At 38.8% G+C, this 17,056-nt stretch overlaps 1 protein-coding gene and 1 long non-coding RNA gene across 21 annotated transcripts in view; one reads left to right on the top strand and one right to left on the bottom strand.

The window, feature by feature from the left end:
• Window positions 1-17,056, top strand: part of NCKAP5 (NCK associated protein 5) — a 1,003,049-nt gene that overhangs the window by 742,919 nt on the left and 243,074 nt on the right. The window lies entirely within an intron of this gene.
• Window positions 424-16,361, bottom strand: NCKAP5-AS1 (NCKAP5 antisense RNA 1). The gene is made up of 2 exons (NR_135572.1): window positions 16,267-16,361; window positions 424-2,039 (listed from the first exon to the last, which is right to left on the bottom strand). It is a non-coding gene; the product is annotated as an NCKAP5 antisense RNA 1 (long non-coding RNA).

Genomic DNA, 17,056 nt, shown 5'->3' with positions numbered 1-17,056 from the left:
GCATTATCAAGTGTAACATGTCTTTCTATCGTATTTTTTCTCAACTTACAATTTTATATTTTTCTTCTATGGAATTTCACAACTCTTTTTGCATGTGTGTGATTAACAGGGTCCTCACAATTGGAAAGGGTAAAAAATCACTATTATAATTACCTAGGGAGCTACAGAATAATTTTTGAGGTAGGAAGAGGCTGAAAAATAAATGCAAGGAAGTCAAATATACAGTTGTAGGTTTTATTACCTAATTTTATTGTACAGAGCAGCTTTTTTCCAAGGATCTTTTAACATCATAATCAGAACTTTAACACCATAGAATTGTGAACTTTTATAGCTGGAAGAAGGCACTGAGATCATTTTACAAGTAAGGAAGTTAGCCTGACCTGCCCAATGCTACACAGTGATAAAAGAAAAGCTTCACCCAGGTTAAATTTAAAGGTGTTTAATTGAACAATGAATGATTCACGAATCGGGCAGCCCCCACTATCACAGCAGATTCACAGAGACTCCAGCGCAGCCACATGGTAGAAGGGAAAAAAAAAGGGAAGTGACGTACAGAAATTGGAAGTGAGGAACAGATGGCTGGATTGGTTAGAGCTTGGCCTATTAGTCTATTCGCCTGTTATTAGGCCTATTAGTCTGCCTGTTAAGCTAGGTTACAGTTCATCCACAATCACTCAGATACAGAAGTATGCGGTCCTTCTCAGGCCATACTTAGTTTGCTTTAACAACAGCCAGTCAGTGGTGAAATCAGGACCAGAACAGAAGTTTCCTGGCTGCACTGTCACAGGCTAGCACACTATTTTTCTGTTGTGAAAAATTTCTAAAAGTCAGGGTAGCCAGAGGATGGAAAGCATTACATTTAGGTTGATTTGGAATGGTGCAATAGTATTGAAGAGCACAGATTCTGGAGCCAGAGTACCTGAGTTTAATTTTGGCTTTCTACTTACTGGCGAGTTATTTCAGCTATGTGTGCCTCAGAGTATAGAGGGAGATAAAATAACAGTACCTATTTTATAGGGTGGTTGGTGAGAAAAAAATGAGTCTGTAGTACTGGGACCCTACATTTAGTACATGCTGTGTACCTGTCATGTTTGTATCCGCAGCATCATTGTTATTACCTGTTACTTCTAAGTTTCCAAGTTGTTGGTATAGTCAGGATTCTTCAGAAAAACAGAAACTATAGGATATATAGAGAGGCAGGAGAGGAGGTTTAATATGGGAATTGGCTCACATGGGAATAAGTCCCATGATCTGCCATCTGCAGCTGGAAAACCAGGAAAGCCAGTGGTGTAATTCAGATCAAGTCCACAGTCCTGAGAACTGGGAGGCCACTGGTAAAAGTTCCAGAGTCTGAAGGCTTGAGAGCCGGGAGCTCCTATGCCTTTCTGCAGAAGGTGGATGTCTCAGCTGAAAAAGAGAGAGAATTTGCCCTTCTTCCACCTTTTTACCTTTTCTGCACCATCAAGTGATGGAATGATGCCTACCCACACTGGGGAGGGCAGATCTTCTTTACTCTGTCTACAGATTTTGATGCTAATTTCTTCTTGAAACACCTTCATAGATACCCTCCCAAATAATGTTTTACCACCTTTCTGGGCATCCTTCAGCCCACTCAAGTTGACACATAAAATTAATTATCACATCATCACTATAGCCTCTTGGGGGCCCTTTAGTCCTTCCCCCTAGATTTGGAGGAATCTACCAGCCAGGTGACTGCAGACAACCATGTACTGCAACAGGGTCGTCCTGGTCAATAGAGTGACTGTATTCAAATTTCAACCAGGGAAGCAGAACCAGTATGAGATTTGTTACGGGGACCTGGCTTATACAATTGTGGAGGTTGGAAGTAGTCTCTGCAAGGCTGTTATCACTGGATCTCATGCTGGGGCTTGAAGTCCACAAGGCATGCTCTCAGACAAGTCAGATCACGAGTTTAAAAACCAGCAGATTAGCAAGAACTTGTGTGAGCTACACAACAGCTGCTGTTTTACGCCCACGACTCGTATCTCTGAAGAATTTTTCTTGTGGCTCACCCTAATCTGAAATATACAACAAAGGGAATTCAGAGAAAATGTAGTTTACTGTAGCCAAGTTGACATGTCACAAAGTCAGCATAGTGACCAATAATAGGAAAAGGACATGGGGCAGAAGAGAAGACAACACTGAGAGAAGTAAAGAAATGAGGCAAATCATACTGAGTTTGATTTACCCCTGTATTATAGAGAGCACATCTATTGATGACCATGAGGCAGAGTTCCACAGAGCTTTGCTATGCTTGCTCCTAGACCCTAAAGAACTGTTCTCACCTAGATGAAGAAGGCAGCTGTGGCTTTATTCAACTCTGTACATAGCTTCTCCTGAGAATCATAATATTTTATATTTAATTTTCTTAAATTGTACTCCCAAAATACTTTTCAGATTCTGAAATATGAACAATTTTAACAGTATATTTTTAGGGTTTTTTAACCTTTTATTTGTTAACTCAGGTAACACAAATCAAGCAAAGCCAATCACATCTGCATAAAGAGCCAGAAATTATCTAGTTTAATTGTAAATTTTGAGAATATTCTGCATCAAACAGTCATAGTGTTAGAGCAAGAAAAGTGTTTTGTGTGATTTTTTTTTTCATTGCCTCTGTCTTATTTTGGGCTTACATAATAAAATACCATAGACTATGTGGTGTAAACAATAAACATTTTTTTCTCATAGTTGTGGAGGCTGCGAAATCCAAAATCAACGTGCTGGCAGATTCTGTGTTGTGGGAGAGCTTGCTTCTGGTCTGCAGAGTTCTGCCTTCTTGCTTGCTGTGTCCTCACATGGTAGAAAGGGAGAGTGCTCTGCACAGGGGCTCCACTGTTTGCCTCCAGATACCATCAAATTGGGTTTACAGGTGCACACCACTATGTGCAGCTAATTTTGTTTTGTTTTGTTTTGTTTTGTTTTGTTTTGTTTTGTTTTGGTAGAGAAGGGGGTCTCACTGTATTTCCCAGGCTGATCTTGAACTCCTGGCCTCCAGCTGTTCTCCTGCCTTGGTCTCTCAAAGTGTTGGGATTACAGGCATGAGCCACCACGTAGGAGTCTTGAAGTTAGACTAGGTCTAACTTCATCTTAGACATTGAAATTCATACCCAAACTTGATAGTTTGCTTCTGTCTGCTCCCTTGGCTCCCACCACAGTGTTATTTGGCCATTTACTAAATCCCATTTAATTTACTTTAATAGTTATGTTCAAATTCGTGTATAAGCCTTACAGAGGAAAGAAAATTCCTCTGGTAGCTCATTTGTCTTCCTGGACTTTAAAAGAAGATGAAACTTTAATAAGGTTTAGATGTTAACATGACTGCCTTGTTCTTCCCCTTGCCCACTTGAGTTTTTCAGCAAGTAATAAATAATTACAAAGCAACTTACAAGATAGGTATATGTGTCATAGCTATTATTTATCTTTCTGCTTATCTCAAAGAAGAGATAGAGTTTTTCACAGTTTAGCAAAGACACAAACCATGTCTTTGTTAAGGAAACCTCATCAATTAATGAGTAATATTAATTATTGTAGGTGCAAAGAAACATTTGGTCATTCAGCAAGCATTTTATCTTAATTTATCATACGTAGTGCTTACCACATGCCAGATGTTGTTTTAAGAGCTTCAGGAATAATTCATTTAATTCTCCCTGTAACCTTATAAGATAATTGTATTATTGTAACCATTTTACAGGTGGAGATACTGAGGCACAGAGGAGTTAACTAACTTATTCAAGTCCAGTTAGTTAATAAGTGGTAAAGCTGACATTGGATTCCCAAGTAGTCTGACCTCTTAAACACTATCCTGTTCTATTTCCTACTATATTCAAAAGCCATGCACAAAGCACTATAGAAAGGGTTCAGAGAAGCATATGGGAAGGACAAGAAATTTTGCTTTTACTTAAGAAACAGATATATTTTATACATGTGAAAGGGGAAAACAATTATGAGTCAACATGCAAGAAAGTTCATGAAAATATGGCTCTGTCTCTTCTCCATAAGAAAGAGTAGAAGGTATAGAAGGAGAACTTATCTTGGTGAACCCCTTTGCCCAACTTCTTAATATTAAAGCCCATTACCTCTGTTCACTGATGATATGATCTTATGCCTAGAAAACCCTAACGATGTCTCCAAAAACTCTTAGATTTAATAAATAAATTTAGTAAAGTTTCAGGATACAAAATCAAAATACAAAAATCAGTGGCATTTTTATACACCAATAACAAGCTGAGAACCAAATCCACAAGTCAATCCCATTTAAATGAACTGCAAAAAAACAAAACAAACAAAAGAACCCTGGGAATACGTTTAACCAAAGAGATGAAAGATCTCTATGAGGAAAATTACAAAACAGTGATTAAGGAAATTGTAGATGACACAAACAAATGGAAAAATATTCCATGCACATGGATCAGAAGACTTAATATTGTTAAAATGACTATACTGCCTAAAGCAATCTGTATATTCAGTGTAATCCCTATCAAAATACCAATGTCATTTTTCACAGAATTGGGAAAAAAAAATCCTAAAAGTAATATGGAACCAAAAGAGCCTGAATAGCCAAAGCAATTCTAAGCAAAAAGAGCAAAGTTAGACATCACATTACCTGACCTCAAATTATACTTTGAGGCAATAATAACCAATACAGCATGGCACTTCTATAAAAATAGACACATAGGTCAAAGAAACAGAATAGAGAACCCAGAAATGAAGCCACACACCTACAGCCAACTGATTTTTGACAAAGTTGACAGAAACATACACTAAGAATACCATTTTCAATAAATGGTGCTGGGAAAATTGGATTGCCATATGCAGAAGAATGAAATTGGACCCCTGTCTCTCACCACATATAAAAATTAATAATGATGAATCAAAGCCTTAAATGTAATATCTGAAACTATTAAAATAACTAGAATAAAACCTAGGGAAACCTCTTTTGAACATTGGTCTACTCAAATAATTCTCGATTAAGACCTCAAAATCACAAGCAACAAAAACAAAAGTTGACAGATGGGACTTAATAAAACTAAACAGCTTCTCCACAGCAAAGGAAATAAACGAGTGAAGAGACAACCTGCAGAATGGGAGAAAATATTTGCAAATTGTGACTACGACATGGAATGAATATCCAGAATTTACAAGGAACTCAACAACAGCAACAAAAATCCACAAATAACCCCATTAAAAAGTGGGCAAAGGACAGGAATAGATATTTTTCAAAAGAAGACATACAAATGGCCAAAAGCAATGAAAAAAATGCTAAACATTAATTACTGGAGAAATGCAAATTAAAACCACAATGAGATATTATCTTATATTCATCAGATGACTATTATTAAAAAGACAAAAACCAAAAACAAAAACAAATGTTGGTGAGATGCAGAGAAAAGAGAGCATTTTTATACTATTTGTGGGAAAGTAGGTCACTACAGACTCTATGGAAAATGGTATGGACAGTTCTCAAAGAACTAAAAGTAGAACTACCATTTGACCCAGCAATTCCACTACTGGGTATCTACCTTAAAGAAAATAAATCATCATATAAAAAGATACCTGCACTTATATGTTTATATCAGCACTATTCACAACCCTAAGTGTCCATCAGTGGATGAGTGGATAAAGAAAACGTGGTATATACACACAATGGAATACTAGTGGCTATTAAAAGGAATGAAATCATATCTTTTGCAGAAACATGGATGGAACTGGAGGCCATTATCCTAAGAGAAATAACTCAGAAACAGAAACAGAACGTCGAATACCACAATTTCTCACTTGTAAGTGGGAACTAAATAATGTGTACACATGGACCTAAAGTGTGTGATAATAATCATTGAAGACCCAAAATGGTGGGAGAGTGAGAGAGGGGTGAAGGATGAGAAATTACATAATGGATACAATGTACACTCTTCAGGTGATGGCTACACTGAAAGTTCAGACTTCCACTACACAATTTATCCATGTAACACAACTGCACTTGTACCCCCTAAATTCGTAAAATTTTTTAGAAAAGATTAGTAAAAAACATAACACCTGGTGGTCAGGAAATCTTGATTTTAGAACTTTGTATCCCCTACCTTACTTTGTCACATTGGCAAAGTTACTTCCTCAACTATTGAAGATGAATTTTAGACTAGAATTAACTATCCCCCAAAACAGGGGTCCCCAACCCCCAGGCCACAGACCTGTTATCTCTCTGTGGGCTGTTAGAAACCAGGCTGCACAGCAGGAGGTGAGCAGTGGGCCAGTGGGTGAGAGAGCATTACTGCCTGAGCTCCTCTGCCTCCTGTCAGATAAGTGGCAGCATTAGATTTTTTTTTTTTTTTTTTTTTTTTGAGACGGAGTCTCGCTCTATCACCCAGGCTGGAGTGCAGTGGCACAATCTTGGATTACTGCAAACTCCGCCTCCCAGGTTCACGCCATTCTCCTGCCTCAGCCTCCAGAGTAGCTGGGACTACAGGTGCCTGCCACCATGCCCGGCTAATTTTTTTTTTTTTTGTACTTTTAGTAGAGATGATGTTTCACCGTGTTAACCAGGATGGTCTTGATCTGCTGACCTTCTGATCTGCCCGCCTCGGCCTCCCAAAATGCTGGGATTACAGGCGTGAGCCACCGTGCCTGGCCAGCATTAGATTCTTATAGGAGTGCAAACTTTATTGTGACCTTCACATGTGAGGGATCTAGGTTGTGCACTCCTTATAAGAATCTAATGCCTGATGATCTGAGGTGGAACAGTTTCATCCTGAAACCATTCCCCACCCCCCAACAAAGTCCATGGAAAAATTATCTTCCACGAAACTGGTCCTTGGTGCCAAAAATGTTGAAGACCACTGCCCCCAAAAGAAGCAAATCACTACTGTGTCTAAGGCACAGCCAGCCTCTGTAGGGGTATGAGATGCAAAACATACAATTCTAAATCACAAGGTGCCATTTTGCCCTAACTTATTTTCACTAAATCTCTATTTTTTCACCCTTAGCTTAAAAAAAAAATCTATCCCAATCCACTTCACATTCATAAATCTATAATGAAAATATTCCTTAGTATTTTTTTCACGTCAATTCTGCAGTTCCAGTTAGACCTCCCTAGGTCTCATGTTATTGAATGTGATTTGGCATGGGTTTTATAGCCTCTCAACTTACTCTGGTTAACACTCAAATAATCACTAAGCTTAGTCAAATGAAATCCCTGATGTATATGTAAGACTTTGAAATTAGTTATTTAAACCTTTCATAATCTAATCCATGCCAGTGGATTAACCTGGACTAGCTGTTAAGGGTTGTCTTGCACCAATTATGCCTGTTTGTATTTTATTGGCCTATGTTGATAAGAGAATATGTCATGTAATTTTAAAAGAACTAAGAATAATATTTTAGGATTTGACATACTGCATTTAAAGTGGGACCCATTGAATAAACATGATTAACTCACACAACACAAAAGGAGTGACCTATCTGTAATATTTTATATTTTCTTAATCTTTGGGTTTAGAGCATTTTAAAAATTCAGTCTTTTAAAGTCATTCTCACTTCTGGCTGGCTCATTGCAACAAAACTTCCATCTACGACATCGTCTTTTTGAGATCCTGAAACTATTTTATGGGCCCAGAGTACAGCACAAGAAAAATGAATCCATTTTTTGATGGCCACTGCGGTTATGGGAAAAAAAAATCATCTTTTTCCTGGGTGGAATAATGGCTTTTTTCACTCGCAGAATGTCTCTTCTGTAGCATAGCATTTTCAGGACTGTAAAAGCCTCTGCCCAGGAGTAGAAGCTGAGGTTTGTAGGGGTCGCCTGCCCAAGGGGGCTTCTCTGGGCACTGTGACCACTTGGCTCTGCAGACCCTGCTGGACAGCAAGCATCTTTTACCCACTGGTTGTGGGGCCAGCCATTTGGTTTATGTCTGGTGTCTCCTGAATCACTTCTCACTCAGGCTAACTGGGCTAACGTCCAGCTTTTAATGTGTCAGATCCTATCCAAATATGGTTAGGGGAGGACAGACTGATAGATTTTTATGTTCATAAAAGGTGCTTTTTCAACATTGGAAATCTCCCTTTTAATTTTTCACTTCTCGACAATCCTTTCTCATTTTTATTAAAATTTTTAATAATAATTAGCTTTTTCTACCAAATAAGAGTTATAAAACAATTATTAGATTTTTCTAACAGTACCTTTAAAGATCTGAGGTAAAAATGAAACAAAACTGTCCTTTTATTTTCATTTAATCCTTAGCGTCCAATTCGTGCTGAGCATTTTTTTTAGTTTAGTTTCTTTTATTCTCTGTAAAGAGCCCATTAGGTGATGATCAGTTTTGTCCCAATTAGAAGGAAAGAAAACATTTCTAGTTTGTTCTTCTGCAGAACTGTACCATTAAGAAATGTTGTTCACTTTAGTGAGAAATTGGTTATAAATAAGACAATGAAAATTTCACATGTTGTTAAGCTGGTGATTTGCCCTATTTGTGACCCCTTGCAAGCAGGCTGTTTGGCAATCTGGTGCCTCTCTGAGTGAGCTGTAACACAATTGATCCCAGGTATAGAAGACACAGCACACTTTTTCCTTCATCGATTTATTCCTTGTGTATTCTCTGCATTTTCTCATTTAGCTGATCAATTAATCTCTGATATAACTCATAGGCAGCAGTTGAAAATAATGTAGCCATTGATATTTTCTCAGCAACAGCAGTGATGGAGTTCCATGTGTCTGTATAACCAAAGTGGAGTTCATTCTCAAGTGTATCCAGGAAGCCTTCTCAGGAGAATTAAGTGTGAGGAGTAGATTACTTTGCTGAAAGCCCATGAAGGCAAGGACTGTAGCTGGATTAGTTTACCTCTGTAGCACCATCTCTCCACACAGTGCCTGGCATGAAGGAGATGCTAAAAAAAAGGTGGACTGAAAGAAGATGCAGTTGTGTTGATTTTAGTAGCAAAGTAGCTTTAAATTGAACATTATGCATCCCTCCAGCCCCCACTCCTGAAATTCTGAAATTTTATTGATTCCATTAAAAGACCAGGCTGTGCAACATAAAGGTCCATGACCAGAAGTTAAAAGAACTGGAATGAGTGGTAGTAGAAAAGAAAGAAGGAGAGCTTTGGTGTCAGACATATGTGTTCAAATCCTAGATCTCTGTCTTGCTGGCTGTATGATTTTTGAGGCTCCTCAACTTCTCTATACTTCTGGGAACATCAGGATAATAATATGCACTTCATGGGGGCCCTTGTGAGGATTAAATTATATAATGCATTGCAATATGAAGGCACAAAGGCATGAAACAGCATGCCCTGTTTGGAAAACTACAAGTAGTTTAATTTAGCTGGAGCACAGGTTGCCCATGGGAGAGATGTGGGAGATGAGTCCAGAGAGAGAAGGAACAGCCAGGTCATCAAAAGCCTTGGGTGCCAAGCTAATGGGTTTGAACTTCATCCTAAAACCTTTGGGGTCTCATTAAAGTATTTTAAGCAGGGGAGAGGAATTGCATGATCACATTTGCATTTTATGACATTGACTCTGGCAGAGCAACATTCTACTGGAAAAGCCTGGCTCTTAACTTTTCTAGCTTCTTCTCCAAGTGACTCTTCTCTCCTACTCTCTGGTCACATAGAACTTTGTACATAGAATGGGTCAAAGTTTCTTGGTCTCTGAGCTTTTACATGTATGATTCCCTCCTCCTAGAATACTCTTTTCCTCCTTAATGCATTAGTAAGAACTTTGTTAGTTACAAATGGCAGAAAACCTAACTCACACTGGTTCTGGCAGTGTATTTACTCAGAAGTAGCTCCCTGCATAGCTGCGTTCATGAACCCAGGTGGTGTCATCAGAATCAGGTGTCTTTTTCTGTCCATCTCTCTGCTCTGTTCTCAGGCAGACTCTCAGTACAGGGTAGCAAAATAATGGCCAACATTTCTAGACCTACATCTTGGGCTCGCAGTCATGTCCGTGGAAACTAAGCACCTCCCAGCAAAAGTCCTGATATTGACTCTGATAGAGTCATGGGCTCATCTCTGAAACAGTCACTGAGGCCATGGGGTTGGAATGCACCGAATGGCCAAACCTGCATTACATTCCCACCTGGAAAGCAGGAGGAGTGGAGGTGCTGTATTGGAGTCAGCTCCAACCAAATCACAGGAACAGTGACTTGTAGGGTAGGGGAAGAGGTTCCTCGTAAGTCAAGATACTCTTTCCCAAAGATAGGTAATTGATGTTGGCCCAGGAAACATCAACTGATGCTATACCTGGCTAACACACCTGCACTCAGCCTTCAAAGGCGGGATGATTGCCACTACCTCCAGGAGGCCTTCTCTGAGCTATCAAAGACTAGGTTAGATATCCCTCCTGTGCATGCCCAATAGCATCATATACTCATGTCCTAGCAGCATTGCAATGGCTCTTTACTTATCCACCTGCATATTTCTGGTACCTAGTGGACAACTCGATAAATATTTGTTATGGGGATGTTATATTGAGCTATCCTAGAATCTGAGAAGCCAGCTTACAATAAAGAAAAAAGTTATAATTAGTTGCAGTGGGACACATGTTTGAGGAATGTTAAAAAGGGAGAATCTACAGGATTGAGGGCCTGCTTCAGGTGGGAGTGTTGGGTGAGAAGGAGGTCTCCATGTCTTAGAGAAGGAGGATTATACCCTAGTTTCTGGATCCTCCACAACAGAGGAGATTGGAGAGAGAGATAAAGGGTTCAGTTTGGTACATGAGGTTCCTGTGGGGCTTACTTTGAGGATTCATCAACCTAGGAATGGCAGATAAAGCTTCGTGAGAGGATGAGAAAAACCAAGGAAGGGTTTAAGGATGAGAAGATCCTCTCTGGGAATATATACAGTTCAGTCAATGTCTTTCCTGCTGATGATGGACTTTGATTCTTGGATTTCACACTAGTGGGCTGGGAGTTGATGATACTTAACTGTAGTGCCATACATTAAGGCCTAAATGCCACAAGGGAGATCAGGATCTCAATCAAGTAGAATTGTCAGTTTAATACAGTTTTAAATAAGGAGAATAGGGAGGTGCATTCTGAGCTAATGAGGAGCAGAAGGACCCAGCCCTCAAAGGACAACCTAGTTCTTCCATATATATATATATATATATATATATATATATATATATATATATATACATACATATATATACATATATATATACACATATATATACATATATATATATACATATATATACATATACGTATATATATATATAAACTAACTTATATATATATATATATATAAGTTCTTCCATATATATATAAGCTCTCAATGGAACATGACATTCAGGTCCCTTGAACCAGGCCTCATGCTATGGAAAGTCAACACACAGCACCCCCAGGCAAGTGTTGAATTTTCTTACAGGAACTTTCTTAATTCTTGGCCATCAGCTTTCCCTTTGTCTCCCACTTTTTTTTTGGTAGAGTCCATCAACAAAAGGGGGTCCTTTTTTCTCTGCCTAACTTTTTACATGATGCTGTAACCCACAGATAGTACTCAACACATGGTGTAGGATGGAGAATAATTGTGAACATTTCTAGTATGTGAAAGCAAAATGAGCAAACAGCTCCTCCTCTGTGGAATGTGTTGTTATTCCTACCTAGGACCTCAGAGAGGACCAGTAACCTGCCCTTGGTCACATAACTATCTGATTGAAATGGTGAAACTGAGTTGTGAACAGTCTGACTTCAGAGCTGGCATAGATACATCACACAAAACTTCCTGCCATGAAATAGCATAGGAACTTAATTTAAAAGAAAAAAAATCATGAAAAGGCCAGATGGCAAGGGGGAGAGGGGAATACGGTGGGTCCTGGTGGTCCAGTCAGCTGGGCAATGTAGGTATGCAGGCAGTAGCCAAGGAACCATGAACTTGCTACTTGGATTTTAAAATTGGCTCCAGCAATGCACATTTCAACCAGCAACAGCATCCAGGCCACAGAGGTCCCTTTTCTGCCCTTTGATAACTAAGGTAGACACAAGCAAGACTTGGCCTCTCTTCATAACTTTGCAGATACTTACTGCTCATTCTGGAGCTGTGTGAAAAATAGACTCAGCATCTTCCAGTCACTTTGAGTCAAATTTCTATATTTCATATAAGCCCTAAATTTCCCTAGAGTTGATGCATCGTCTTGTAGAAGTATAGATGTCATCTTCTAGAGATCATATTTTCTTTATTCCTTCTCATTTTTTTCTTTTTTTGCTTTATCTTTTTCTTTCCTTCTGTTTCTTCTGCCCTTTGTCTCTTCTGTTCTTCTTGTCTGTCGTTGCTGATCTGATTTCTTTAAGGTCAACTCCACCTGTTTTCAGAAGCTATACCATCATCCCGCTGTTGATCTTGCATCAAATGTTGTGTATTTAATCTTGTGATTGGTGTTAACATTAATTTCTTTTAGCTAGTTTGCGTGTTCAGTGAATGACTCTCTGTCAGCGGTGGCTCCCACCCACCCTTCTCTCCAGGTGCCCAGACTCCAGCAAGCTACATGTGCTGCTGTGTAGAACACACATTCAAAGCAAGATAGACAGACACAGTCTCTGCCAGGGCCTCTGCGCCTCCACCTTCTTTAATTATATGCTGTACTATAATCTTGGTATTCTCTGTGGCAGGGTAATTGATGAATTTTTAGCTGAAGTGAACACATCCTGGGAGTGCTCTACCTGAAAGTGCATTTTTCTTTCCCTTCTCCATCCCCCAGACCAAGAAGGCTGTATCACCACTCCCATTCCACCCATACATGTAAATTGGCTTCCTCTCTTGTCACTGCAAATCCACTTTGCTATGTGAATTGCCATGTTAGTTAGGTTGATGGAAAAGAAGCTGGACAATTTCTGTTTCTCCCTTTGACTATGGCTTGTAGGTCCATGAAATGAAACAATAAATTCATCATTTGTTTAAGAAGTTAAACCAGATCATTTGTGACTTACCATGGTGCCAACTCCAGATGAATTGGGAATATCCTTGTTTTGTTTGATACTGGGTATTTGAAAACATGAAGCTTTCATCCCAATATTTGGCAATGTGTAGACCTTTCACTGTCAAAAGCCTTTAGGCATCAGATTGTGATTTACTATGTAATTCAGGAAGCAATTTCTTTTCATGGCTATTTCTAAACTTGGAATTTCTTTTCATGGCTTTTTCTAAACTTGGAATCTTCAGAAAGCATTGTTATTTACATTATACTGTCCTTTGAATCACTTGTGTTTTATTGTCTTTTTTGTTCTTATTTTAGAAATCTAGAGAAATGCAAAGCTTTGGAGAAGGATCAAGTTAACGTTATTTTATAATAGCATTGTCATCATCATTATGGATGTTGTAATGTCATCATCATTATAATCATTAGTGTTATATTTTAGTTGGAGGAGAAATGATCCAATAAATGCATTCTACTGTTAATATTTAACTACTGGCTATAAAAAAAAATTACAAAATATATGCTGAATGTACCATGACAAACCCTACGATCTATGTCTTTTAATTTCTTTTCTAGCAAGAGAGAAACCAAGGAAATCCTCAAGGAACAGGTCATTCTGAAATACCTAAGGGTAGATCTTTTATGGGAGTGCTTAATTAAATATCTGATATCTTCTGTAGAGGGAAATAAAATGAAATTGCTTTGAGTACTACCTTTCAGAAAAAAACCAGCCTTTCCTTGTGGCTGAGACATCAGGAAGAAAATGGTACCAGATCCTTCTGAGCTCATTGCAATGTTGATGCATAGTATATTAAAGGAATCTGATTTATAGTGATGAGTTATTAAGGAGAAATTGAAAGTTTCCCAACCCATGGGTTTTTACATGCAAAATTTAAGGAGCCCATTATAGTCCATTAGTTTAAAAGGTAAACTCATTAAATCCTTCCTGATCAAATAGCTATCTCTGATTTTATGGTAAAATTAAAAAGGCATGGACAGCATTTTAAGACTTGGTATAATATACTTCTTGGTTCCCTTGCAGCCAATGATAGCTAGTGTTTAATGTGATGATTTAAGGATGATTTAAATTGGTCCTCCTGCAGAGGAGGAGGAGGATCCTCAGAGAAACTAAATTTATGAAATGGTATAAGTGGGATTTAGAGTTAAGTGACAGAGTGATTGGAGAGAAGTCTTATGGTTTGGAGCCCAAAGACACATTAAAAGGAATCATAGTCACAGGCCTGTGTTTCTGATGGCCTCAATAAAGAGCTCATGGGAGCTGGATGTTTAAGCCCCACAGGTGGACAAAGGTGCACCTGTAGGGCTGTTTTCCCATCTCTGCAGCCAATAAAGTCAAAGAATGTGAAATAATATTTTCCCTGTATTTGCCTAGTTTATGTTTGTTCTTCAAGTTAGCAACTGTAAATACTAATCATAATAATCAACTATTATAAATTTTAAAGCAGAAAAATGTATTTACTAAAATGTTATCAAGTTTTTATAACAAATGAGTCAACCAACCCAATAGATTAAAGGACAAAATGAAAATTACCAATCCTGGCGGTTAAATAAGGGCTATGAACTATCATTTTAATGCCCTCTTCTGTATAACATCAGAACACAGTGTAAATTATGATGAGCAGCCAAACGTATGGATCTTATAAATGAGTTATCAAAAGTATATATTAAAGTTTTTTAAAAATCATTTTCTAAAACCATAATGAAGCACTGAAAATTATTTTAAGTCATTTTTCTGCCAAACTCAAGAGTGGCTTGCTAGTTTCATCAAAGCCATGGCAGATCAAGAGTAGATTACATATTTTCAGTTACCTTGGACAAGTCACTGCATATCTTTCTGCTTAGCTTTCTTATCTGTAAACAAGGGATGTTAAGAGTTCCTATGTCATATGATTATTGTGAGAATTAAATAAAGCACACAAAGAGCCTACAACAGTGCCTGGCACACAGGTACATGGAAACCATTCCATAAACATTAGTTGTCATCATTATTGGGTCTACTCCACTCTGGCACTTCCATCAATTTTGCATTAGAGAATCAAGACTCAAAGTAGAATATTTCAATTTGATTTACCCAGGAAGGCAGCCACATGCTAACCTACATCACAGCTACAAACTGGGTTATTCTAACCCCTCCAAAAAAGTAAAGAGATGAAATAAGATACAGATCATGCCCTTGAGAAAATCATCATTTGAGTCCACAGTAAAATTGTAGTGATGATTCCAAAGGTGGTCTAGAAATTGAATTTCAAAATTAAGCAGCTAGTGCCACATATAAGCTGTACTTTTGGTCCTAAGTCAACTAACTTTCTTTCACATTTTAATATAAACTTTAATTTTACAAGCAATAAATGTCCATTAATAGAAAGATGGAAAACCACAGAATTCAAATAACCTTTTATACAGTTAATACAGAAATAATCATTCTTTTTGGCATCTACACGCCAGTCATTCTTCTCTATGCCTCTTCCTATTTTAATGGGATCCTACAGTACAAGCCTTTTTGTAACGTGATTGTTAGTAATGTCACAGTGGAACCTTTCCACTTTATGATGTGTGTTTTTATGCTGTCACTTTAATGGTTACATAATGATCCGTTTGTAACAGTGGCCTAGGATCAACCAGCCCCATGCAAAGTAAGGTTCTCTGAGTCCCAGTTACTCATCCAGCTAACGCCCTCTGTCACATTCGATCATAAATTCTGTGGTCAGTCTATGCCTAGGGAAGTTCTTAACCCAAGGCACAATATAGTGGGTCCCCTGCCTATCCCAATTTGCCTTCACCATAGTATTTCTCATCTTTGCTTGCTGTTAAAAAAAAAGAGGGCAGCCTCTGCAAACATGAATATTTCTGTCTTTACTTTGGCAGTCAATTTCTCTGAGCATTGCCTCTGCTCACTGAGGTCTAGCAGTTCCCTTGGGGTAACAGTGAGAATGAATGTAGTGAGGCTGTGAAATACAGAGAAAGTATACACATTTATTGAGTCATAGCCCCACCTCACATTGTATGGATGTGTGATAATTCACTTAACCAATGCTCTAGTGTTGGGTATTTTATCTGTTTCCAAATTTACCGTATTATAAATATTATCCCCAAGTCTCCCTAAGCCATCTGCCTCTGGGGTCAGATTAGGTCACATTAAGAAACTGAGTGTGGCTGGCTCTTTTCCATCTTTCCCCACTCCCAACAGACACAGAGGCTCTGCTCACTCTTCCCCACAAGAAACTTCCCCCTAGTTATTTCAGAAGTTCCCAGGACATTCGTATGTACAGTCATAAAAACATCTTCTTCCATTTGTGACTGACACATCCTCACACACAAACCTGGATTGAAAGCAGCTTAGCGAAGGCCCCTCTCTGTGACTGCTACTCGGGGCACCCCCACAGGAATTCTGATGCCCCAACCAGTGGGCTGTATTCTGTGTTTACAGTGTTCCAGAACTACTTATCCTGAGAGTTCTGCAGTGCCTTGTTCCCAGGATGTAGCCCCTGTTGGTTTGCAATCACCTTGCTTCCTGTCCAAGAAAATGATGGGAACATGCCTTTCCCTCCTGGGCCCCAAAGTGGGATTTTGGTGACTAGAGCAGCAGTTCCCAAATCATGTTTGGAAACAGCCTCATCCCCTTTAGCCTCCTGCTCCTTTCTCTGTAGGAATCACACCAGGTCAGGCCATGCAGCACACAGGACGGCCTCTCGTCTTCTCATCTGATACAGCTCTGCACAGTATGCCACTGTTCACCATTCAGACTTCCTTCCCCATGATATAAACTCAGGAAGGAGACACTGGATGCCCTTAGCCACAAGTCTAGCAGATCCATCAAATGGTCCATCCGGTCTTAGGTTCATCACATGTCTGGTGCAACAGCGAGCACCCTTCTATTTGTGCACATTTTAAATAAACATTTAGATTATTTCCTTAGATGAATACTTAGAGGCCTAATTGCTGAAATAGAAGGTATGCAATAGGCATTTTTTTTTTTTTTTTGGCCATAGCTTTACTTGATGGCTGGCTGAGTTCTGGCAATATCTTAGATTGCCTCTTGAGACACTTAGGATAAGAGCTATGATCTTTCTGGGATGTCATCATACAGCAGTGTTGCTCTAAGGATGAAGC

The sequence above is a fragment of the Homo sapiens genome, chromosome 2 (genome assembly GCF_000001405.40).
Source record: "Homo sapiens chromosome 2, GRCh38.p14 Primary Assembly".
Lineage (NCBI taxonomy): Eukaryota > Metazoa > Chordata > Mammalia > Primates > Hominidae > Homo > Homo sapiens.
The sequence above is the reverse complement of the archived record's forward strand: the minus strand, read 5'-3'. Positions and strand labels throughout refer to the sequence as shown.